Raw genomic sequence first — 24,634 nt, 5'->3', positions numbered from 1 at the left:
TTTAAAAACCACTGACACGTGGCTCCCACCCCCTAGACATTCTAGGGTATAATTTAGGTGCCGAGAGTTTTTAAAGCTCCCCAGGTGATTCTGGCAGTCATCAAAATTTGATATGAGTAGATACATAATACCCTCATCATCCGGCTTGCTCTTCTCAACCAACCTTATTCTCTCTAACCATAAACACTCTTAACCACCTATCTACCCCCGGTTCTCAAATTCCCATTCTCTCTCACACCCATCCAAAAATCCCTTTTACAGTTCAGGTCCAAATGCAAACTCTACATGTGCCACAAAATCTCCCCTGACTGTTCCAGTTTACCCTGGTTCCAGTTCACATTCATCTCTCTTTCTCTAGTGCACTTAGGAGATTTAGAGCAATGGGCCTCCGTGCCACTGGAGGAGATCGTACCTCTCACTGCTTCTGCATGTTTAGAATGGTTTGATATTGTGAAACCACAGTTCTGCAACACCACTCGAGATTTGTAGGTGAAAGGGAGGGAGCACCTTGCGGAGTCAGAAAAGGCATATGGAAAGGGTTTTATGCCGTGAATGGCCTGTCAGCTCAGGCATGCCAATCACCAGTGCCCTCAGGGAAGCTACGAACTCTGTGTCCTATTCAGGTCAAAATAAGAGAAGAAGCAAAGGAAAACTGCTGCTCTCAACTGAAATCTGAGGGAAGCTTGATCAGCCTGGACATGAGCTCAGAACAAAGGATGGGGAGACTGGGCTTCACCGAGGGGAGGTGAAAGGGTGCCGTGAACAGACACTCCTCCAGGGGCTGAGGGGTGAGAAACGCTGCCCGCCAGACCAGCCCATGCAGGGCAGCTGGACACTCAGGGGAGAAGGTGCTGGGCTCCTAGAACAAGAAGTCTCTCACCTGGGGCCTTATACCAAAGAAAGTAAGGATCGAGAATCTCACCAGGCCAGGCAGCACCCCTATCTACCTTGAGCCTAATCAGAGTAGCAGGACCTAGTATCCAACCAGAAAAGATTGAGTGGAATGATCCCCAATGAAAGAACTGGAGAAAGTGCTATGGAATCACAAGAAGGAAAAAAATTTATAGCTGGCCTCAAGAGTTTATTTGAAATAAATAGGTTTAGCTTGCTAACATGTCTCTATTGACTAAATACTATGTGAAACTTCTCTAATCTTTGCAGCTTGGTTATGCCTTATATTCCCCGCTAATCCTCACTTCCACCTACTTGCTATAGTGAATCACAGTAGAACACTGAAAAAGGCGTCTGCAAGTCCAAGTGCGGCGGCTCACACCTGTAATCCCAGCACTCCGGGAAGCTGAGCCAGGATGACCGCTTGAGCCTAGGAGTTCAAGACCAGCCTGAGCAACAAAGTGAGACCTTGTCTCTATAAAAAGTCTTAAAAATAGCCAGGCATAGTGGCATGCATCTGCTCCTCAGGGGGCTAAGGCAGGAGGATTGCTTGAGCTCAGGAGTTCGAGGCTCCAGTGAGCTAGGATTACCACTGCTCTCCAGCCTAGGCGACAGAACAAGACCCTGTCTCTCCCTCCCAAAAGCCTCTGCGGTTGTTTTCAGGGACAGCAAGGAAGAAGGGAGCCAGTCCCAGAAAAATAAAATAAAATAAAATAAGAGACAGTGTAGGTGGTGGCCGTTGCACAAGGAGAGGAAGCCAGACTGAATCCCTGGGGGCATCAGAGGAGCTGGCCTCAGTCAGAAAACCCTGGGAAGCCCCTCAGGGGCTCCCCCTAATTATATGCAACTCTAAAGTAATAAGACTAATCTTTTTTAAAGCATCAAACATCTGGGGAGAAGGGTGAGGGCCATGGTTAGTGCACAGACTGGAATCATGCCTCCTGGATTTAAATCCTGGCTCCACTTACTTTCTAGCTGCGTGAACTTGGGTAAGGCACTTGAACTCTCTGTGCCTCTGTGTCCTTGCCTGTAAAGGGGATAATTCTGGTACCCATTTCATTGGTTGTTTATGATGGCTAAATGAGTTAATAAGCGTAATCCCCCGAGCACAGTGCCTGGCACATGATGAGAGCACCCTGTGTTTGTTATAATTATTATTACCCATCACATATATTGAAATAAGTTCTGTACTTTCACATAGTGTTCAGAGACCACAAATTTCTTCCCAGAAAGCACTAGTGGACTCCTTTGAGAATTGCCTTCAATTCTCAAAAGCCTGTGACACAACCTTTTGACTCTTTTCAAAGGTGACCGATCTATGGCCTTTGAGAGTGGGTTTAATGTTTAAAAACTTAAAATTATATCCAGATTCAACTTTGGCAAAACTGGGTGATGAAGTTGAGTAACACTGAACAGGGTCAAAAGCAAGTTATGTCCAAAAAATAACAAAAATAAATGCACCTCATAAATTGGCTCTGAAAGCAATTCTAAGAAGGGGTTCCAAAAATCACTTTCAACAACATCAGCATCATTTGCAATTTTTAATAATGTGGGAAAATACTTGTTTTATAATATGAAGTGTAAATATCAGGTTACAAAATAGGCTAATCCTAACTTTCTAAAAAGGAAAAATTAAGCATAGAAAAAAGACTGGAACAGAATACTCATATTATCAGTGGTTTCCTCTCTGACGGAATTATGGCTGAGTTTTCCTCGTCTTCTTCTTTCTTTTTTTTTTTTTTTTTTCCTTTGAGACAGAGCCTTGCTCTGTCTCCCAGACTGGAGTGCAGTGGTGTGATCATGGCTCACTGCAGCCTTGGCCTCACAGGCCCAAGAGATCCTCCTACCTCAGCCTCCCAAGTAGCTGGGACTACAGGCACCTGCCACCATGCCCAGCTAATTTTTTTTATTTTTTGTAAAGACAGAGTCTCACTGTGTTGCCCAGGCTGGTCTCAAACTCCTGGACTCAAGTGAGCCTCCTGACTCAGCCTAGTGTGTTGGGATTACAGGCATGAGCCACTGTGCCTGGCCTGATTTTTCTTCTTTAAAAGAAATATTTGATATTTTCTGGTTTTTCTACAATTACGCAACTCAAAAGTTGAAAATAAAATTGCACCATTCGTAAAGGACCATGACCGGGAACCTTTGGGACCACGGCCAGGTTGCTTTGAAGGGCAGCTTTGAAGGGCAGCACTCCATCTGAATGTAACGCTTTGCATATTTGCATATATTTTTTAGAAATATTCTTGTGACTGCATACGTAGCACATAATTTTACATGTAATAGTACCAATTCTCTCCTTGGGGATAGGGACTGATCTATCCTATAAATCATTTAGATCATCTTAGGACAGTGCTAGTACATAGTAGGTGCTTAGTAAATACTTGATAGTTTCACCACAGAGGATCCTAGGTCCAGGGCTAATTTGATATTGCTTGGGGCTGGGGAAGGAGGCATCATCAGGTATAACAAACACGCCTAAACCCACACTGACTTTATGACTGCAGGCATAAGCATCCCTACAATGACACAAGGCTCATGTTCTTCACAAGGGAAAGTGAATGATCCAAAGGGAGAGAGGGATTGGTCCATAGCTGTCAACTAAGGCAGGTACCACAGGGAACAGAACCCATTGCTCCACCTACCTTGTCCTCTCCCAGAGGTGGAGGGGGAGGATACCTGTCCCAACACACTCACCTGCCACCTGCCCCTCCCTGCCCAGCCCCACCAGGCTTACGTACTGGAGTTTCTGTGGGAGCTGGCTAGGCTGTGTCCAGCCATCTCAGGCGGGGGCTGGTGACCACGGTGCAGGAACTGCTGGGAGCTGAGCACGTGGCTGGGGTGGGCAACCCGGTTCATGCTGTGCAGGACATTGACCTGGGCAGAGGGAGGGCTCCATGGGCACACACGCTTCTCCCAGGTCCTCCCCACTTCTCTAGACCCCAGCCCCATCTCCTAACTACTGCCCCCATCTCCTTCTCCTCCACCCACTGCAAGGTCCAGCAGCCCTCCACGCTGCCATGTCCATGCCCACCAACTAACATTTTGAGTCCATGCCACCTCAGCTCCTTTCTGGGGGTGGGTAACTGTGGAAGGAAGGAGACTCTCTGGGTACCTCCACGATGAATTCATTGCTGGAGTAACGGCCATTCATTTCCGAGCAGGAAAGCCGGAACTTCCTGGTGTAGAGGGCAGCTCCGTGTCGCAGCCGATAACGAGCCTGCCTCAGGATCTCTTCATACACAGTGATGCTCTCCACCCCTGGAGATGAGGAAGCACCTCAGGGCAGGGGCCAGTGGAGGCAGGACCTGGGCAGGACCCTCTCTCCTGGACTCCCACCAGCTGACGCCACACAAGCTGTAGAGCAGGTCAGCCCCATCTCCGCAGAAGTGCGACCTGAGGTCGAAGGGAGGGATGCTCCCCTCCATCCCTGCCCACTCTGACTAACTAGGATGGAGAGATCAAGGCTCCATTTCCTGCTCTGTAGGTTCTGAGGAGGAATGGAAAGAAGGAGATAAAGACATCCTGAAAGACAGAAAGGGAGATGGCAAGCAGGAGGGAATATGAGAAAGAGGAAAATACAGAAGTCCTCAGTGAGCCCTGGAAAGGAGTGGAAATAGAAGGGAACTGATTATCTCCATCTTCTCCATTCTCCCTCCTGGCTTCCTTTGGAAACTACCAAATCATCACTCCCACTATTCACTAAGAGATGAGTACTTCTTGTAAAGCTCTGGTGTGCACGTGAGATGAGTGAGCTGAACAACAGAGATGACCGGTAACAAACAGACAGCTAGAGGGTTAGAAAGCTGGGCAGAGATGAGCCGAAGGAGGAGAGGAAGGTGAGAAGCCTGAATGGAAACAGGAGTGGGACCAGAAGTGGAGGTGAGCCAGGCTATGGAGAGGAGCAGGAAGACAGAAGCATTCGGAGCCTAAACCCAGCACACCTTCCCTAGGGACAATCAAAGCCAGAGGATCTTCCAGGCTAGGAAAATGCAAAACGGCACTTGTCCACATCCCTGGACCTGGAAGGAGGACCCTCTGGGCTTCCTAGGCCCTTACTTTTTGGGAGGGGCACACACACACAGAGGACAGGCCCTCAGGCCCCACTGACCAGCAATAGTGAGGTAGGCAGATGTGTTGGTGAGCTCCAGCCCCCGCTGCTGCAGAGAGGTTGTGTCCAGGAGCAGGCTTTCCCGCTCGGGATCCAGGTCATCCCCCACCAGAGAAATTTCACAGCCATCCAGGTTGTGCACAATCTCATCCGACATGCGTGTGTCTGTCACTGGGTTGGGGATAGTAGGGTCTGGGTCAGAGCCAAAGGGCCCACGGAGGTTCTGAGACCCAACCATGCCCTCATCACCACTCTCCCTCCCTTTCCAGGGCCAGGGAGAGGGAAGTCAGCATCATTTTCAAGAATATCATTATGCAACAATTCATTTCCACCCACGTGTTTTCCACTTGCTCTCCTTCTTAAAGGTAAGTTGTTCAGTCAAACAAACACAGGATGGAGTCGCTTTCTGCTTCCAGCCCCAGGAGTTCTCCCACACTCTGACTCCAGACACTGGCTGGTTCTCTGGATGGTGTTACTCCCCGAAGTCGTCCTTACCTGTGCCCTGCCAACTCTCATCCTTTTTGGCCTCCACCTGGTGAGAAATGGAGCAGGTGATTTGAAGATCAGGGAACAAAGGGACGCCGTTGGTTCCCTCAAAGTCCACAGCTGGGCGGGCAAAATGAGCAGTGCCACTCAGCAGGATCTGGGGGGCGTCAGGCTGAAGGACGACCACGTAGCCCTCCACTTCAGGGATGGAGACGCAGGACTCTTCGCTGAAGCACCTATGTAAGAAAGCAGGAGAAGCAGCATGTGACCCCAACACTTCCTCCCCGAAAACCCACATTCTGTTTCACTCCCCGCCCCAGCTACCTCTATCATAGAGCATCTCATGTCAGGAAGGGGCAGGGGAAGAAAGGGGGTCATGCCTCTGCATCCCAACCCCCACAGCAGTTGAAGGGGGACATATCCTTTCCTGGTAGGATGTCACCAAGGAAAATGTCGAGGACAGAAGGTCAGGTAATCCCAACCTGTGGGTGTGATCACACCATCAATGCCCTACCCCAGGATTATGGAGTACCTATAGATGCTATTTTAATGAAAAACAAAGCAAACTGAACTGACAAACAGGTATATATACACACACAGTTCTTTATCCAGCAGTTTAAAAGTACATGGACTCAGTATACTATCCGGCACATATGCGCCCAAAATTATTCAACAATAAAAGTAGAATGTGGACATCTATCAAAGGATGTCCTCCTCTTTGGTGTGTCTTTCATTCCCTTCAATATCGGGGAAACACACTTTGGTAGGTGAGATCATCTGACCACCTTGGACCTAGATCCACCGTCTCATGAAGCTTGAGGATCCAGGCATCAGGACAAGCTATCCTTAGAGGACTCTGTTGAGCCAGACCAACCAACAGCACAGCTGCTCAGCAGTGATGCTCCCAGGATCACATTTAGCCCCACCTTTACCAGTAATAACAACACCTCACAATCAATAGCCCTTGCCAGTTTATGAAGCATTTTCCCACATTTCTTTCTTTCTTTCTTTCTTTCTTTCTTTCTTTCTTTCTTTCTTTCTTTCTTTCTTTTTGATGGAGTTTCACTCTTGTTGCCCAGGCTAGGGTGCAATGGTGCGATCTTGGCTCACTGCAACCTCTGCCTCCTGGGTTCAAGCGATTCCTCTGTCTCAGCCTCCCAAGTAGCTGGGATTATAGGGCGCATGCCACCACACCCGGCTAATTTTTGTATTTTTAGTAGAGATGAGATTTCTTCATATTGGCCAGGCTGGTCTTGAACTCCTGACTTCAGGTGATCTGTCCGTCTCGGCCTCCCAAAGTGCTGGGATTACAGGCGTGAGCCACCGCACCTGGCCCATATTATTTCATTATATTATAACCTCATTTCTATGCTGTAAAATGCCTAAAGCTCAGGCTGGGCATGATGGCTCATGCCTGTAAATCCTGGCACTTTGGGAGGCTGAGGCGGGAGGATCCCTTGAGCTTAGGAGTTCGAGATCAGCCTGGGCAACATAGTGAAACCCCGTCTCTACAAAAAATACAAAAATTATCCAGGTGTGGTGGTAGATGCTTGTAGTCCCAGCTACTCAGGAGGCTGAGGTGGAAGGAACACTTGAGCCCAGGAGGCAGAGGTTGCAGTGAGCTGATGAGATCAGGCCACTGCACTCCAGCCTGGGCGACAGAGTGAGACCCTATCTCAAAAAAAAAAAGAAGAAAAGAAAAGAAAGAAAAAGAAAAAGAAACAATCAAGGCTTAAACCAGAGTCTAGGCTTAAATCATTCTTCTCCTTCCAGGTCCACTGATTTTTTTTTTTTTTTTTTTTTTTTTTTTTGGCAGAGTCTCTCTCTGTTGCCCAGGCTGCAGTGCAGTAGTGCCATCTCAGCTCACTGCAACCTCTGCCTCCCAGGTTCAAGCAATCTCGTGCCTCAGCCTCCTGAGGAGCTGGGACCACAGGTGTGCGCCACCACACACCGCCCAAGTCCACTGATCTTTCCACTAAACCACAGGCACCATTTGGGGCCTGGGTTTGCACCAGGGAAATGTATCTGTAAAGAAGTTTCCCCACTTGAACAAGCAGACTTCACGGTGGAGTTAGTGATCCAGGAGCATGGACTCTGATCCCCACGCTGGTGCTAGCGGAAATGATTTTACAGAGAGGACTGTAATTATTAGTGTTACTGAGCATGCCCAGCTTGAATGCTGGAGTAAAAAGGGAGAAGGCATCATCTCAGTAGGCATGATGAGCTCAGAGCCCCTGAAGTTGCCAATGCCCGGGATGTGCTGAGTTCCTGTACCACACGGAGCAGGGCCTATTACAGTCTGCCATCCAGATAGGCCTAGGGCAAAGCCCCTTGGGAAACAATCCCAGATGACCCTGAAGGCACAGGCTCCAACAGACATCCTCCCTGCAATGAGCAATGCTGTGCTGTGCCGCTGGTCTGGGAATCCCAAGGGGAATAGGAGGCCTGACCCAAAGGCACCGTTGGTCTGGTAGAGAGATTAGACGTGGCACACAAAAGTTAAAAGAAAGGCAAATATGGTCATCGCCATATGAGTGGAACAAACAACCAGAAGAGTTCAGAGGAGGGAGAGGTTAGTTCTGCCTAGGATAAGAGGAGGGTGCTTGGAAAAGGAAGGTAGGAACGATCAGAGAAAGTAGCAACTGAGCTAGCCTTTGAAGGAGGGTAGTACTGACCCAGAGTGGATGGCGAGAAGCTTACTAAGGGGAGTAGAGGAACATGAGGCAGGAACCACCAGAAGCCAGATGGCTGGCAGCTTTAAATGCCATGATAAGATCTGTTTTTTTTTTCTCTCTCTCTAATTTTTTAGAGACAGGGTCTCGCTTTGTCGCCCAGGCTGGAATGCAGTGGTGCAATCATGACTCACTGCAGCCTCGAACTCCTGGGCTCAAGTGATTCTCCCACCTCAGCCTCCTGAGTAGCTGGGACTACAGACTTGCGGTCTGTTGGTTGTGCAGGCTGGTCTCGAACTTCTGGCCTTAAGTGATCCTCCCACCTTGGCCTCCCAAAGTGCTGGGATTACAGGTGTGAGCCACGGCACCCAGCACATTTGACATTTTTATGCAGTGGGCAAGAGGAAGCCACCGACGTCTTTTTCATCAGGGAAGTGTGATGATGAAAACTCAACTTAAGATCACTCACCTAGCCTCAGAGTAGAGGATAAATAAAATTCGAAGACTAGAGATAGGTCAGCTAGTTAGGAGGCAATGGGCCAGATAAGAGGTAATAAGACCTGGGCTAGAACAGTAACAGCAGCAAAAGAAAGAGGAGACAGATTTCAGACACGCGGCACAGAGGCAGGGTCCAGGTGAGCTGGCAACTGATGGGCAGTGGAGGATAAAGACAGGGAAGAATCAAAGATGACTCAGAGGTTTCAAGCTCTGGATGACTGCAAGGACAGAGGCACCATTACAGAGAGAGTTCAGGGAGAGAGGCTGGTTTGGGATTGCAGTTGATTATTTCAGCATTAGCTCTTTCGGTTGAGGTGCTAGCAGAACTTCTAGATAGAGGTTACAGGAAGCAGATGGAAAGTCAAGAGCTGTGGAAAGAGGACAAAACTAGAGAAATAGATGTGGTATCTATCTGTTCAGGGGTCAATTCCACAAGTAAATGGGCTTTCCAAGAAAAATACTAAAAAAAAAAAAAACTTCAGGAAAACTTGCATTTAGGCATTGACCAAATAGTTGCATAAATCTGGCTTTAAATAGACAGAGGTCCAAGAACTGAAAACTGGAAGCTATGAAAGCCACAGGGACAGGGGCAAGGAAATGCATCAGGGAAAGGGAGGTATTGCTAGGTACCTGTCTGTGTCTGTTACATACACACAAATGCGCGCGCACACACACACACACACACACACACCCCTCTATATTTTCTCCCGTGACCTCAGGGAAGTATTAGGATAGCACCAACCATGTAGTAACCTTAGAAATGGAGAAATGAAAACTCTGTTTCTTAACCTCATAGAGAAAACATCAAGGCCCCTTTCCTCAAAGGCAGGTTCCAAGCCCTTGGATAAACCTCTATCCTGGGCATGAAAAAGATAGCAGGAATTCAGATGAGGCAGTCAGCAAAGAGAATGTCAACTCCTCCCCCCGCAGGAACTCCCCTTGCAGAGCTCCACCCTAGGCCAAAAACCAGAGCCCTCCCTTCTGCCATGGCTCCTCAGCACTGGAGGGGACGAGGCAATGCCTTGGCTTCTGAGGGATCAAGCCTTTCATAACTGGATGACAGCCCTTTAACAACTGGAGCTCTGACTGGGACATGGCGGGGTGCATACTCAGCAATCAGCTGCACCCACATTAACTCAACTGCCTGTGACCTTCAGCTCCACACCCTGAACCAGCAAATTCCCAAAAGCCACAGCCCGGGGCCTTCCACAGCTCTAACTGTGAGGCCTGATAATCACGCCCAGTCACCCTCTAGGGCTCAGAGCCCTCTCCCCTCTAAACCCACCCCTCCCAGGATAGGGGCAAATTTGAGATGTTTATCTTCATATAGCTCACAGAGAAACTGAGGCAGAATCGGGGAGAGGGGTAACAAGATTGGAACGCAGAAATCCTAACTCTTAAATCATGTAATTCACCCACTAGATGGCAGTATCTCCTAAAAACCGCCCATAAACCATAATAAGGGGTGAAAATGCCTTTATGTAATAATAGCCAGCATTTAAGCGGCATCCACTCTCTGCTAGGCATTTGATCCAGATTATATCATGTAGTCATCGTAACAATTCCACGAGTTAGACTCTATTGCTATCACCACTTTATAGCATTTGCCCAGTGCCAAAAAGCTAGCAATAGACCCTATGCTCTTAACTATCATACTTTCGTTGCCTCTCAATTGATCTGTATTTTTAAACATGTAATATATACTCAAACCTTGAAATAATCTACAATTTTTCTTTTAAAGACTCCAAAAGTCATTCACTTAGAATTCAGAGGTCAGTAAACTTTTTTTTTTTTTTTTTTTTTTTGAGATGGAGTCTCGCTTTGTAGCCCAGGCTGGAGTGCAGTGGTGCAATCTCGGCTCACTGAAACCTCCGCCTCCTGGGTCCCAGTTCAAGCAATTCTCCTGTCTCAGCCTCCCAAGTAACTGGGATTACAGGCACGTGCCACCATGCCCAGCTAATTTTTGTATTTTTAGTAGAGACAGGGTTTCACCATGTTGGCCAGGCTGGTCTTGAACTCCTCGTGATCCATCTGCCTTGGCCTCCCAAAGTGCTGGGATTACAGGCGTGAGCCACCGTGCCCGGCCAGCAAACTTTTTCTATGAAGGATTAGATAGTTCTGTTTGAGGGGGCCATATGATCTTTGTCCCAACTACCCACAGTTCTGCCATCACAGTGAAAGTAGCCATAGACATATGCAATGAATGGGCACTGCTGTGTTCCAATAAAACTACAAAACAGGTGGGCAGGCCAGATTTGGCCTAGGACTGCCAACCCCCAGACTTAGGCCATCGTACGTGACCTTGCAAGAGCTTGGTGAAGCAAGATTAAAACAAGTGAAGCAGCCAGGACTCACCATTTGCCCGAGGTTATCCAAGCAATTCGCATTGAGTCAGAATTAATGTCAGGTCTCCCCACTCCCAATCCTGTGTCCCACTTTACGTATCAGCACAGAGGCATAGAGAAGATCAAAGCCCGGAAACCCTAGATGTGTGACTTGGTAGAAAGAGTAACAGATTGATTGTTGAGAAATCTGAGTATAGTCCAGACTCTTCTACCAATATTGCTATGTGACCTTCAGTGGTCAATTGTCTCCATTTGAGGGCCCAATCTCCTCATCCATAAAACAAAAGAGGTATGCCTAGCTCTAGGTGACGCCTTAGGCCAAGGAGCTGTGACACTGTCTGGCTCTGCTTGGTGATTTGCCCTGCCCCACCCAACACTCACTTGACAGCAGTGGTGAGGCGCAGGGGCCTGACGCCGGGCGTGGCAAAGCGCAGAGTGTTCATGTAAGCCACATGCTGCAGGGCATGGTTGAAGGTCTCCACATCATCCCCCTCCAGGGTGAGCAGGGACTGTGAGGGGTTCACGTGGACCTGGGCCCCAGACACAGATACAGCTGAGAGCAGGGCCAGGAGGTGGCAGAGGAAGGGAGCAGAGGTAGAGGGGTAGGGCAAGGGGGTGGGGCAAGGGGCATGCTGGGAAGAACAGGGCTAGAGGATGGGGCAATACCTTCATGCCTTTGCCCAGGCTCTCGAAATCCCTATAGTCCAGCCCCTCCCGACATGCATAGAGGCACTCGATGACCTCGCGGCTCTCCAGGCGACCTGAGCGCACGCTGAAACCAGCCAGGTAGCCATGGAAGTAGTGGTGGATCGACAAAGGGTCTCCTAGGGTAGGAACACAGGAGCAGGACGGGAGGTGAGAAGAGAGGAGGATGGAAAAGGACGAAGGCTGAGAGAAAGGGAAAGGAGAGAAAGAGCAGAAGAGTTGAGAAAGAAAAAAAGGAGAAATGTGGAAACCAAAAAAAAAAAAAAAAAGGAAAAAAGAGAGATGAGAGGTGAGGGAGAAGTGAAGGTAAGGGGGGAGGCTAGAGAAGGGAGAAAATGAGACAAAAGAAGACAGAATAAAGCCAGGGGAGAAGAAGAAGGGTGAAAAGTAGAAGCAACAAAGATGAGAGGGAGGAAGAGAAGGAAACAGGACCAACAGGAGGAAAGAGTCAAAACAAGGAGGGAGGGGGAGGCGGCAGGAGAGAACGTCTTTCCAGTGACATGCAGGGAGACCAGGATGGATGTGAGCGAGCTTCACAGATGCCCAGACCTTCCCCTTCTGCGTGTCTGACTCCTGACTCCTGCCACCTCCCTTCTACCATGTGGAAAGCCACCAAGAGAGCCCCATTCTTCATTCTGTGGGCAGGACAGGATACCCAGAACCCAGCCAAGCTGCCTCTAGCCTTACCACTCCAGGAGCCCCTGCCCTGCTGTATTTCTTGGAGGCTCTGCCCCCTGGTGGCCTAGGAGGCTGTCACAGGCTGGATAGGATTTGGGGTGGAAAAGGGATCTCAGAACAGAAAGTGAAGATGAGAACTCTCTGGTCTCCAGTTCTTACACACGGAGTACCTTGGGTGGTGTCTGTACTGTTGTCTCCCTTTTCCTTCTCTTTGTTCTTCTCCTCTGGGGATAAAAAAAAAAAAAAAACAGTGCTGGTGAGCTCAGGGATGTGGAGAGATTGACAGAGAGGAATGAGATGTCTTCCTCTCATCCCCATGAGTGCTCTCATGCCCACATGGGATTCTGACCCTGCCCATGTATAACTTGCAACCTCTCAGCTCAGCCCCAACCCTTCTTTTGTCATGTTCCAACCTCTCCAGCCTCTATTATAGACAAACCCCCAAATACGATATGCTGCTGAGGAAACACGTGGGCTCTGGTAAGACAGACAGGCACATGTGCACACACACACTCCCAAGAGGAGAAAAATTTTTTCAATGGCTTAAAAGTTGGAAGACCGAGGACACTCTAAGGGGTTACTCTCCTTGAGCAGGGGAATGGGCTATGGAAGTCATCATCACTTTGATGGAAAAAAGTGGAAACTGGCTGGAGTTACAGAGAGAGAGTCTGGGGATGCGTGAGAAGTTAATTCCTCCAAGTCAGAGGTGATGACCCATTGGATTAGTGGGAGATACGGGAGGGAGGCTGTGGTCCCTTCCCATGGAGATCTTCAGAGTCACCCTGCACAGCTGCAGAGAGATGCAGGAGGCGGCCTCAGCTGCTGGGTCAGACTGCCCTTGCTCCTCACCAGCCTACCTCCCTTCCCAAATCCTGAACCACTGGAGTCTTCACTGAGAAGCTTACCAGTCCAGCAGGCCCCAATCATGAGAGCAGGCTCCCTTCGGGGTGGGTGGATGAGGCCATTGTCATGGATGAGGGCAGGGTCGAAGGAGATGCCGTCGGTATAGAGTGTGACTGTGGGGAACTCGAGGTTCAGAGCGTAGTGGTGCCACTCATCATCACAGACCTGGGAGAGTAGGGTAGGGGCAAGAGCCTCTCAGGTAATTCGTCTTCAGAGAGCTAACCCTAGGCACTGCCCCATCTCCTGGGAGACAGGGGACAGTCCCTTTATTCCCAGTTCTACCAACAGGGCTTACTAGTGCTTTGCTGCCTATCCAGCTCGAGGAATAACATCCTTGTCCAAAATCTATCAGGCAACCAACCTAGTAGCAAAGATTCCACTCTTCAGGTAAATCGTTAAAGCTATAAATATTCCTAAGAGGAGTAACACACTTTCATGAATAAATTCCCTGCCCCCCGAACTTATGTATTACATATGTGTGTAAGGCACTGGAAACTCTAGAGATGGGGTTTCCTTCTGTCCCCCAGGCTGGAGTGCAGTGGTGCAATCATAGCCCACTGAAGCCTCAAACCCCTCGGCTCAAGCAATCCTCCCACTTCAGCCTCTGGGGTAGCTGGGACTACAGGTATGTGCCACCATGTCCAGCTAATTTTTTTATTTTTTAGAGATGAGCTATCACTATGTTGCCTAGGCTGGTCTCCAACTCCTGGCCTCCAGTGATCCTCTCAGCCTCCCAAGTAGCTGGGATCACAGGTTATCTCTAGGATAGCTTCTAACCCAACATTAAGCACTAAAATAAATATTGCTTCCCTTTGCAGTCTCTCCTAGGGCCAGCCAAGATGGAATGGGGGATGGTCAGAGGAAAAAGGGGCAGAGAGTACTCTGCCTCATCCAGTTCCAAATGTTGGGGTCCCTCAAGGCTCAGACCTAGGCCCTCTTCTCTTTCCTCTCTACACTCTTTTCCTAGAAGTCACCTCATCTGTTGCCATGGGTTTGGGTACCATAGTTATACACTGGTAACTCCAAAATCCACATCTCCAGCCCATAACTCTCCTCTGAATGCCAGATTCTCCACTTGGATGCCCACAAGTATCTCACATTTAACACGTGTAAGGTGCAAGTCCATGCCCTTTCCCAACTCCCTCAGTTTCTCCCCAGGCAGTATAAATGCTCCATCATCCATCTAGCTGCTCAAGTGGCTGACGTAGGAGACAACTTTGATCTTCCCTTTCCCTCAGCCTCCACATCCAGTCCATTAGCAGGTGCTGTTGATCCCAGGTCCAAACAGAGCTACAAGCTGCAGGTTTCTGTGCAGGTCTCTCCGTCTCCATTGCCACACATCAGTCATGTCTCCAACCCCTTTCATGAAGACTGTTGCAACAGTCCTGTTTACTGTCACCATTAGATACCTTCAATACAACCATCCCACAGTTGCCAAGGGGATCTTGTTAAAATGTAAATCTGGCCAGGCGCAGTGGCTCACGCCTGTAATCCTAGCTCTTTAGGAGGCCAAGGTGGGTGGATCACGTCAAGAGATCAAGACCATCCTGGCCAACATGGTGAAACCCCATCTCTACTAAAAATACAAAAATTAGCTGGGCGTGGTGGCACACGCCTGTAGTCCCAACTACTAGGGAAGCTGAGGCAGGAGAATCTCTTGAACCCGGGAGGCCGAGGTTGCAGTGAGCCAAGATCGCACCACTGCACTCCAGCCTAGTGACAGAGTGAGACTCCATCTCAAAAAAAAAAATAATAATAATAATAATAATAATGATGATGTAAATCTGATCAGGTCATGCCTCTGCTTTAAAATCCTTCAAAAAACACTTCCTGTCTCTCATATGACAAAAATCTAGACTAACCCTGCTGAAAAAGTCCACTGTACAACCTGATCACTGCCCATCTCTGCAACTTATCTCCAGTCTTGTTCACTGTACTCCAACCGCACTGGCCCTCTTTCCATGCTTGGAACATGCTGAGCTCTTTCTTGCCTCAGGGCCTTTGCATATGCTCTTCCCTCTTCCTGGAACCTTCCCACACTCTTCCCACACCCAGCTATTTCTCATCCTTTAGCACTAGGCTTAAATTTCCCCTCAGTCAGGTCCCCCAGGAGCACCCAATCTAAGGCAAGTTCTCCTTTCCTTGCCTCCCGCCATGCTCTGCCCCAGTCCCTTGCCTGCTTCTTTCAGAGCATTTCTCACAATTTATCATTTTACATGTCTATTTACTTTTTAAAACTTTATCTCCCCAACTGAAATGTAAGTTGAATGATGGCAAAGATTTTGTTTCATTCATTGTATTCCCAGAACCTAGCTGAATGACAGAGACTTAGTTGTATTTAATAGATACTGGTTGATTAAATGAGGGTGAATTGAAGAAAGATAGCAAGGGTAACATTACCAATATTTGCAGTGTGAGGGGGGAATCAAGAAACAGCAAATGACAGACTGTCTCTTTAAAAGAGTGCCACAGACAGCAAAACTTTTGTAGACAGCCCTCAATTATCTAGTTTATAAATTATCTGGGCACTTCTTTTCTCTCTTCTAATGCTTTTTTTTTTTTTTTTTTTTTTTTTTTGCCGTTTGCTTACTCAGCCACTCCACCAGGACTTGCAAGAGAAACAGAAGGAGGTGAAAACTCAAATTAGTCCTCACTGGTCCTTGTGGTCAGCCTGGAGAATAAATAATGAAGAGGCTGCAACTGTTGGCTCAAGAGAGGATTTTAAATATTTTATCCATTTTTATTTATCCCTCCATAATCAGGGCTGATAATAGTGAGAATTAACATATACAGAGGGAGTGCTTTTCAGTCTACAACGGTCTATTACATCATTTAATCCTAACGACTCTGGGATATAGAATTCTTTTTATCCCTATATAACAGGGTTGTTTTAACCCTGAGGTTTACACATATTAACCAAGATTTCATAGCCAGCAAATTCCCTTGGCAGGACTCAAACCCAATCTGTGTACCTCAGAATGACTTATTGTCTTGATTACAACAGGCTAACTGCCTGAGAGTCAGGGATGTATACTGTTAAAGTCCTAAATAAGAGAGAGAGAGAATAAAACAAGGAGGAAATAGATGGTTGGTCGACTTTGGTGTTAGTAGTCATTTGTTCCCTTTTTTTTTTAAATCCAGAAGTGCTTTCTGCAGGGGACAAGCTTTGGGAAAAGGGAACAAGAGGACCTGGGAGTAGAATGGTCAGGGGCTGAAAGTGAAGAAGCAAAGAGAGGGCAAGGGGGAACCCAGAAAATGCTGACCCTGCCCAGAGAAGGTCCTTTCCTAAAAGTGAGTCACATCTACTCAGCCCTCCCAGGAGCCTGGCTCTTGCCTCACCTGCTCCAGCTTCCAGAGGAACTTGACTGGGCGGGCACTCTCAAGCAGGGGCCAGTAGAGGAAGGCAATCCTACAGCCGTGGACAGTCAGCGAGTAGTGAGAGAAGCCGTCCTCTGAGGGCACAGGAAGGGGATGGGGTCAAGTGCAGAGGCTGAGGCCAGAACAAGTTCAAAGCAGCAGGAAGGAGAGGATGTTGGATTCTCTTAATCCTCTCTCATTCCCTCGTTCTCTAGCATTTTTCTTTCCTCTCTCTCTCTCTCTCTCTCTCTCTCACACACACACACACACACACACACACACACACACACACATTCCAGTCCAAGTGATAACTTGGGCTTCTTAGGCACCCTGGCTGGCTGGCTGAGGAGGGAACATCAGCTGGCCCACTCCATCACCAGCTCTTCATCAGTCCTTTGGTTAATACATACATCATGGGTGACAACCCTTTTCAAAAGAGTTGTCAAGGTCAAGAGAAATGAGGTTGGAGAATTGGCTAGAAATGAAAGAGCAGGTCAAGACTAAGCCCTCTCCAGTGAAGTAGGCCCTGCAGTTGAGGGAAGAACAGGCCTCGGAGTTGGGGCCAACCAGTCCCAGGATGGGATGATGAAAGAATGGGGCACACCATTACCCAGGCTTTCCCATTGCAATGGAGGGGCTTTAATGGAGGTGGAGATGGGGGGTGGGGACAGCCTACCACATGGTGGGACACAGAGAAGTTGACTGGGCAACTGAAAACAAGAGTAGCAGCAAGGAATCCCATTGCACTCTGACAGCAGTACGATCCAACATGTCATGTTGGGGATAAAGCACAGAATCAAGGCATATCACACCTGGCACTTGCACCTCACAAATGAAGAGAGGGGAAGTGACCTGTTCACAGTCACACACTGGGCAGTGACAGAGGCGGGACAAGAAGCCAGTTTCCCCCTCTGGCTAGTGCCTGGAGGGGAGGCTCACCATTCTGGACAGTGTTACATACGATGGTTTCCTCTTCCTTCTTGCCCTTGTTGGGAGTTACGCCATGCTTCATCCAGAAGGACAGGGTGAAGTGGTCACTGAGGCTGTCCTGGGGCCCAGAGCCCAGCCCACTGGGGCCACCCAGGGGCACCTGCACAGCCTGGGTGCCATTGAACCAGTAGATCAGGCTGCTGTCCTGGCTGTAGTGCACCGAGAGTCCTGCTGTCCAGTTGGCATTGGGGCCAGGCATGGGCAACAGATCCACCTCCCCAGTGGCAGCACCTGTGGGAGCCCCAGGAGGCACAAGTGTCAGAGCCAAGAAGCAGCAGATGGTGAAAAGGGCAGGAGGCAGGGAAAGAGGGACTGATGGGAAAAGATTTCCTACAGCACGTCTTGCCACCTTTTATGGCCTTTCAAAGACAAGAGAGGGATGAACTCACTTCTAAGAGTATCTCTCCAGTTAACCCATTCTCCAACTCTTCATCTCGCCCTACCATTGTTCCACCATGCATCCGGTGACTGTCTGGTGCGATGACTATGCATCTTTGCCAAAGACATATGTACCTGCCTTTTGGGCCGCAAATGCTAATCGTGTCACAACCTCTATGGATAAACACCTGTGGATGGCCAGTGGTGATGTAAAGCAGAGTCTTGGAAAAGTTTGGACAGAGGTTGGATGGGAAGGGATAGGCCTGAGGCAGTGTTGGGGGCACACCTACCACAGAGTTTCCGCAGCGCCCGCTCTGAGTAGTTGTCACGGTCACAGCCCTTGGCCACATGGCTGGTCTGCAGCTCTATGGTGGCCTGAATGTTCCAGAGTGGTTCATCACAGGTCTCCAGGCGGATACCAGGGAACAAAGCCAAGCTCCCAGCACCTGGTGCATATTCGATCCTTTTGTTCCAGCCTGCATGGGTGAGACAGAGAGGGTGATGGGGAGAGAGAAGGGTAAAGCAGCCTCCCCTCTCCATGCTCCTCTTGCCATGTCCATGGACAGTTTGGGGCTCCTGGCAGGATGGCCCGGCTAGAGTAGATAGCTGCAAGCCTGCCCCAATATCATCCAAGCCCTAGCCTGGCCCCCATGATTGTCAGAAAGGACAGAAAGAGAGACCAAGAAAAAAGATGATTCACAAGATGGGGCACAGCGCTGAGCTCTCACCTTGCCAGCTGGGTTTACAGGTGGGCTTCACCTGAATCTCCACCTCAGCATCATCTGCTGCCCGCTTCTTCCCACAGTCATAAGCTGTCACTGTAAACTTATAGAGCCTCTCACCACTGTACTGCAGCTTCTCTGTGTTCTCAATGTTCCCTGGGGTGGGGTCAGGAGGACAGAGCATTAGAGCATTGGAGAAAGCCCAGGGCAGGGAGGGGAGGATGTCTGAGATCATCGGGCAGCAGGCAGGTTAGGCAGCAGGACGCTGGGAAAAAAGGCATCTGGGAGGAGAAGGCTCCATTTGGGAAGAAGGGTGAGGTGAGGGTCTGAGGGGCAAAAGTGGAGAATGCAACCCTGGGTTGTCCTGAGGGAGGTGGGTGCTCAAGGGGAACTGGGTGGCCAGGGAAGCCAGGGGTGGACTCACCGTCATTGTCAATGAGGAAAGGGGTGTTGGGTGTGAGAATCTCATAGTAGCAGATCTGGCTGTACTGGGGGGAGCAGTCACCGTCAATGGCTTCCACCCGCAGGATGCGATCGTACAGCTTCCCCTCTGTCACAGCCGCACGATACAGCCGTTCCACAAACACTGGGGCAAACTCGTTCACATCGTTGACCCGCACATGCACAGTGGCCCTGCATATGCCAGAGAGAAGGAGGGATGAAGACACGTCAGCCAGCCTCGACATTATACATTGAGATACAGCCTTGATACAGCACACCGAGGTACAGCCTCGATACGGTACATCAAGATACAGCCTTGATACGGCACATGGAGGGACAGGTTCGATACCGTACACCAAGATACAGCCTCAATACTGTACACCAACAAACAGCCTCAATATGGGCACAACGAGATACAGCCTTATACTGTACACCAAGGTACAGCCTCGACACGGTACACCCATATGCCAGAAAGGAGCAAGCAGGAATCCCGACGGAGAGCCAGAACAGGAGGGAGCCTGCCCATCTATCCCTGAGACTGAGGCAGTCAGCACGCTCCTCCCCACCCCACAGGGCACCAAGCTGCATCAAAGTCATGCCAGGGAGAGGACAACACCAGAGGGAGGGCCCAAAGAAAGGAGGACTGATGTAGGGGATGAGGAACAAGGCCCAGGGGTGCTCAGGAGCTGATTTTGATGACTTCTGTGCAAAATGCTATGGGTCAGGGTGCCAAGAGGAGGGGTAAGGCATAAAATCCAGCAGGGCCTTCCTTCACAACAGTCAGATCCGGGGGGATAAGCAAGGAAGATGCAGAGTAAAAGCCAAATTAAAACCAGCCATAAGAAGGGAAATGGCATGTGTACAAAGGTCACAAGTCATCTGACATGTCTGCACAGTACGTGTGGGCAGTGCTGCCTCCCGCACATGCGGCCCCTCCCTAGTCATGCACCGGGGCAAGCAGAGCTGGGTCGAGGCCCTTCATGCTGAGCCCTGCCCCAGGCCAAGACCCAGGCTCCCAGGCCCCAGAGGCAAGGGTCCTATCTTCAAATGGGAAACTGAGTCACAAAGAGCATTTTATCTCTAGTGCCTCTTAGTGGCTCAGGAATCCTGACTGAAGATCTTTCTCTTATTCTCAAATAAGAAGTTAGCTGGCAACAAGCGTAGGTGTCCCAGACCCGAGCCTCTTTCTTGCTACAACCATCGCCTGCCCACCCTCACCTAGAGCTATATGTGTATGATAGGGATCGTGTGTGTGGTATACACTGCAAATAGACTGGAGGGGGCAGTTGAAAGGGAACTGGATGCATGCTGAGTGTGTTCATCCTCTTCCTTCTTGCTCTCCTCCTCATCATTATGCCCATGTACTGTGCCCTTCAACGTGTATCAGGCACTGTGGTGCATGCTTTCAACACAAACCATCTCCTTGAATCTTCACAGCAGCCTTATGAAGTAGGTGTCATCACAATCTCCATTCTACAGATAAGGAAAAGCAAGTCCAGAAAGGCTAGGCTGCCCAAGGTCATGAGAGGCAAAGCCAAGATTAGATCCACTGAACTCTACTATACGTTTCTGTCACCTTGCCTGAAAGTCCCTAAATCCTAGGAACAGCAGGGGATGGGGCTCCCTAAGTCCTAGGAACAGCAGCGGGTGGGGGTGGATATTCGATGACCGCACGGACAGAGGATGGTGGGCTTGGGAGCAGGGAGGAGGACCCTGCAACACATGGGGCAGGAGACAAGGACTTCCTCACTTGTGGGACTTCTTGGTGTTGGCCCCGTCGGGGCCCTCGCCACAGTCATAGGCCTGGATGGTGAAGGTGTGTTCCTTCTGGGCCTCGCAGTCCACAGGCTCCTTGGCCCGGATCAGCCCCTCTCCTGTCGCCTTGTCAAGGATCACAGCCTCAAAGGGCACCCCAGACCCATGGAGCCGGAAGCCGCAGATCTCACCTGGCAAAGGGGAGAAGGGGAGGAGTGAGGCTGCTGTGTCTCCTTCCCCACCCTCAGTCTCCCCACCTGGGGTCCAGCTCCACCTCTCCTCCCAAAGCCCTGTCCCTTCTCCTGTAGGCACAAAAGCATTAATGATCAAACACGCAACTCTAAGCCCAGCTTCCCTGAGCAGCAACCTCCCAGAGCCTCCAGACCTGAGATCTGACAAAATCATGATGTGTTTAACCCTTGCCTGGCCATGTCCTTTTCTGGCATCCTTGACTCAATCTCCATTCTTCAGTGGAGACCATTCCCCTCCTTGAGCCCACTTTTATCTTCCCTTACTTTCTCATCACTCCCAGGACCTTCCCTCCCTCCCTTGCTCTTGGCCCTCCCACCCACTTTTCTCTGTCCTACCCTGCCTTGCCATCCCCCAATCCCAATTACCTGCATAGCGCAGCGGGGCATCCTTGTCCAAGGCAAAGAGTGGTGGATTCAGTAGGACCGTGTTGTCATTCTCCATGACGATGCCCTGGTACTCTGCCTCAATCCATGGCTTGTGCTTGTTGGCTGGCCCCACCCCAGGGAGAGGAGAGGAAGCACCTGTGAGCAGGGCCTCTACTCCCACAACAACCCTTGTTGACCCAGACAACTCACACCCCAGCACCATCACCTTTTCCACCCCCTATAGGAGCACCTTACAGGAGGCGGGTGGTTGAGGACAAGAAATCAGCTACTAAAGGAGTCAGAGGGTCTGCGGGAGGTCATAGCCTTCTCCTATAGCAGGGTAGACAGTTCCCATGGAAACAACCTGCCCTGGGGGTGAAGAGGAGGGGATCACTATCTCCATGGGAACCATGGTCAGGAAGTGGAGAATGTTCTTTAGCGATTTCACGTGCTAGAGAATGGAGACAGGGAACTTCAGGGAGCAGTGGTGGGCTGTGAGAAGGCCCTGGGAAAGGGAAGGGATAGATTAAGGGCAGAATTGAAACTAGAAAAAGATCTAGAAGTTTCCTGAGATCCTGATTGCTTATCCTCCTCCCAACTCATTTCAGTCCTGATCCCTTCACTCTGCACTTCTCCCAGCCAAGCCCCAACTTGAGGCCACTCTCCCAGAACACAGGATGGGGAGAAAGGAGAGAAGTGAAGATATATAGGACAGAGGGAGGGGGCAGAGAGGGGCAGGAATGGAGCAGAGGAATCAATGCTGAGCAACTGGACCCAGCAGAGCCGTCATCCTAAGGGATTATCGGGCTGGCCTAGAAACATGACAAATCCCGTCCCTGCTTCCCACCCCCACACCCAAGAGAACACATTCGAAACCGACACATTTCTATGTCCTCCACAAGACCATCAAACCACATTCCCTGAAACCCACTTTTTATACAGAACTCAATCCCAGTTCTTATCTACCCCATCCCTCTTCCCTTCAACCACCAGCCAATTCAGAATGGATGCGGGACTCATCAGACTCCAAATCTCCCCATCTTCTACCAGATTCAGCCTGGTGAGGGGCTGTGGGGAAGCATATTTCCTCCCCTTCCACATCACCCCCCACCCCAGCCTCCACGCTTGCTCTAATCCCATCATCATGCCAACACCCAGGCTCCCAAAGCACAATCATGAGGCAGAGGGAAACTGAGTCACCAAAAGGAACCTCATCCCCAGTATCTCACGGTGAGCAAGAAACCCTGATTTCCATTCTTTCCTCCAACCACACACCAGCAAGCCTTTGGCATGGGAAGGCTTTCTTACTGATGACCACCATAACCCCTTCCTGAATGCTGAGGAGAAAGCCACAAGATGGTGCACAGGAGGCGGTACAGGAAGTGGCAGGAGGCTAGGAGGCGAGGCTGAGGTCAGAGATGCAGGCAAGGAAGAGAGAGCGGTGGAAGGGCAGGGCTGGGCGCCCTCTGCACAGCTCCCCCTCCCACCCTGCTTGTCTTCCCAGGTCTCTGAGCCTCTGTCTCCTCTCCTCCTGGCCCCCTGCGGTCTCTGCGTTTGCTCCCTTTCACTCCTAGGCTCCCGGGCTCCTCCTTGACTCACTCTTTTCCTGATTTTCCTCATTCCTCCCTCTTTTTTCTGCCTCCACCTTTACCCTTTTCCATCCCCTCCTTACCCCCTCCCACGCCTCATCTCCGGTCTTCTCCTTCTCAGCTTTCCCTCTCATACTCATTTAGCGCCCCCCACACACCCACTTCTGCCCTTTCCTGCCAGTCTCCATCCGTTTCCACCTACCTGAGCCCTCTGCCCGCAAGCCCTCCCTCCCGTCCTCCCTCTCCGTCTGTCCGACAGCCCCGCCCAGCTGAATGTATCCGCTGTCTGCCAGAGAGGGCAGCTCTGGTAACCCACAGCCCAGCTGATGCAGGCAAAAGGGTCTGAATGCAGAGGCACACGCAAAAAACATACGTGCTCCGAATTGCTGAACTGCAGCAAATACTTTCTCCCCAGGATGGGATGGAGGCGAAGCAGATGGATCTGCCACACACCCTTAGCATGCGCCAGTGAAAGGGAGAGCCGCGGGGAGAGGCCTATCACCGGCTCGGGGGCAGTCCTTCCCAGACCCGAGGTAGCCACCAGCGTGTAGAAATTAGGGGAAGGGGAGAATAGAGACCCCAGGACGGGAATGGAGACCAAATGGGAGCAAGATGACCAGCAAGAGAAACGCATGGGTAGAGATGGACCAGAAAGGAAGATGTAGCTGGGGGAAGAGAAAGAGAGGAGACGGAGCAGGTCTGAGAACGGATGGGAAGGAGGGTGATCAGAAGAGGGCCAGACACCTGTCAGGTGCCAGGGAGCCTCGACACCTCCTTCCCACCCCCACCCCGCACGGCGCTGCCCGACGCCCCTCTTTCGGTACCCCCACCCCCACCTCACTCACCTTTGTTACAGGAGCAGGACGCGAGCAGAGAGGCCAGCAGAAGGGGCAGCAGCAGGAGGGTCATGGTGCGGCGTGGGGCAGGGCAGGGCCAGGCGTTTGCCTCCCCTGGGAGCCTCCAGCCTGCGGATTCCACCTTGCGGGAGGGATACAGGGGGTCTCCAAGGAGCGGGGTACAGCAGGGCAGGGACGGAAAGGAGCCTGCCGCCCACACTAGTCCATAAAGCGGGCCTGGGCAGATCCCAATCTGGGTAGCTGAGGCGGTGGACTTGCAGCGGCTTCCCGTTTCCCCCAGCCCAGCGTCCTCACTCTCTCACTCCCACCCCAACCCCGCTACTGCAGGATGACGTCAGCACAGCCGGGCAACGATTGATGGGGCCGCCGGCCAATCAGGTGACTGGGAGGGGGGGGGACCAGGTGCTGCAGCGGGGGAGGGAGCCAATGAGACTGGGGCGTCGGGGCTGGAGAGTTTCAAGGCTCCTTCCCCTGGCTGCAATTTTGGGGGAGCCGAGGAACTGCGGGGGCTGGGGAGGAAGCTGGAGAGCCACGGAGGGGGTGGGAAAGAAGAGGGACGTGGGGAGAAAGAAGCCAGAAGCCAGGGGGTGGGGAAGAGAGACGTCAGCGGGACCTGAGGGCGGCCAGGAGGGGTGGCAC

The 24,634-nt window shown here is 50.6% G+C and overlaps 1 protein-coding gene across 4 annotated transcripts in view, besides 3 other annotated features; it reads right to left on the bottom strand.

Annotated features, from left to right (window-relative positions):
• CLSTN3 (calsyntenin 3) overlaps window positions 1–24,634 on the bottom strand; it is a 29,853-nt gene that overhangs the window by 4,250 nt on the left and 969 nt on the right. For 3 of the 4 annotated variants that reach the window (XM_047429921.1, XM_047429919.1, XM_047429920.1), the window contains exons 2-17: window positions 23,984–24,116; window positions 21,550–21,672; window positions 20,928–21,123; window positions 19,161–19,369; window positions 18,743–18,892; window positions 18,305–18,490; window positions 17,586–17,867; window positions 16,629–16,741; window positions 13,292–13,454; window positions 12,557–12,610; window positions 11,670–11,827; window positions 11,385–11,533; window positions 5,498–5,724; window positions 5,003–5,173; window positions 4,007–4,152; window positions 3,633–3,768 (exon numbers count right to left, since the gene is read on the bottom strand). In XM_047429921.1, coding sequence (XP_047285877.1) covers window positions 3,633–3,768; window positions 4,007–4,152; window positions 5,003–5,173; window positions 5,498–5,724; window positions 11,385–11,533; window positions 11,670–11,827; window positions 12,557–12,610; window positions 13,292–13,454; window positions 16,629–16,741; window positions 17,586–17,867; window positions 18,305–18,490; window positions 18,743–18,892; window positions 19,161–19,369; window positions 20,928–21,123; window positions 21,550–21,672; window positions 23,984–24,047 — 2,527 coding nt within the window. In that variant the 5' untranslated portion in view covers window positions 24,048–24,116. Of the gene's footprint in view, window positions 1–3,632; window positions 3,769–4,006; window positions 4,153–5,002; window positions 5,174–5,497; window positions 5,725–11,384; window positions 11,534–11,669; window positions 11,828–12,556; window positions 12,611–13,291; window positions 13,455–16,628; window positions 16,742–17,585; window positions 17,868–18,304; window positions 18,491–18,742; window positions 18,893–19,160; window positions 19,370–20,927; window positions 21,124–21,549; window positions 21,673–23,983; window positions 24,326–24,634 lie in introns of those variants that run through there. The other variant, NM_014718.4, reaches the window with a different exon arrangement.
• Window positions 23,309–23,378: a silencer, noted in NCBI's record as "silent region_4199". NCBI's record gives its function as "represses an Ori minimal core promoter by ATAC-STARR-seq in GM12878 lymphoblastoid cells {active_cell/tissue: GM12878}" and the evidence as "EXISTENCE:reporter gene assay evidence [ECO:0000049][PMID:35858748]".
• Window positions 23,526–24,027: an enhancer, noted in NCBI's record as "H3K4me1 hESC enhancer chr12:7283265-7283766 (GRCh37/hg19 assembly coordinates)". NCBI's record gives its function as "activates a minimal SCP1, AML or CMV promoter by ChIP-STARR-seq in naive H9 embryonic stem cells {active_cell/tissue: H9 hESC(naive)}" and the evidence as "EXISTENCE:reporter gene assay evidence [ECO:0000049][PMID:30033119]".
• Window positions 24,469–24,568: a silencer, noted in NCBI's record as "silent region_4198". NCBI's record gives its function as "represses an Ori minimal core promoter by ATAC-STARR-seq in GM12878 lymphoblastoid cells {active_cell/tissue: GM12878}" and the evidence as "EXISTENCE:reporter gene assay evidence [ECO:0000049][PMID:35858748]".

Source organism: Homo sapiens, chromosome 12 (genome assembly GCF_000001405.40).
Source record: "Homo sapiens chromosome 12, GRCh38.p14 Primary Assembly".
NCBI lineage: Eukaryota > Metazoa > Chordata > Mammalia > Primates > Hominidae > Homo > Homo sapiens.
This window is presented reverse-complemented; position numbering and strand designations above follow the sequence as displayed.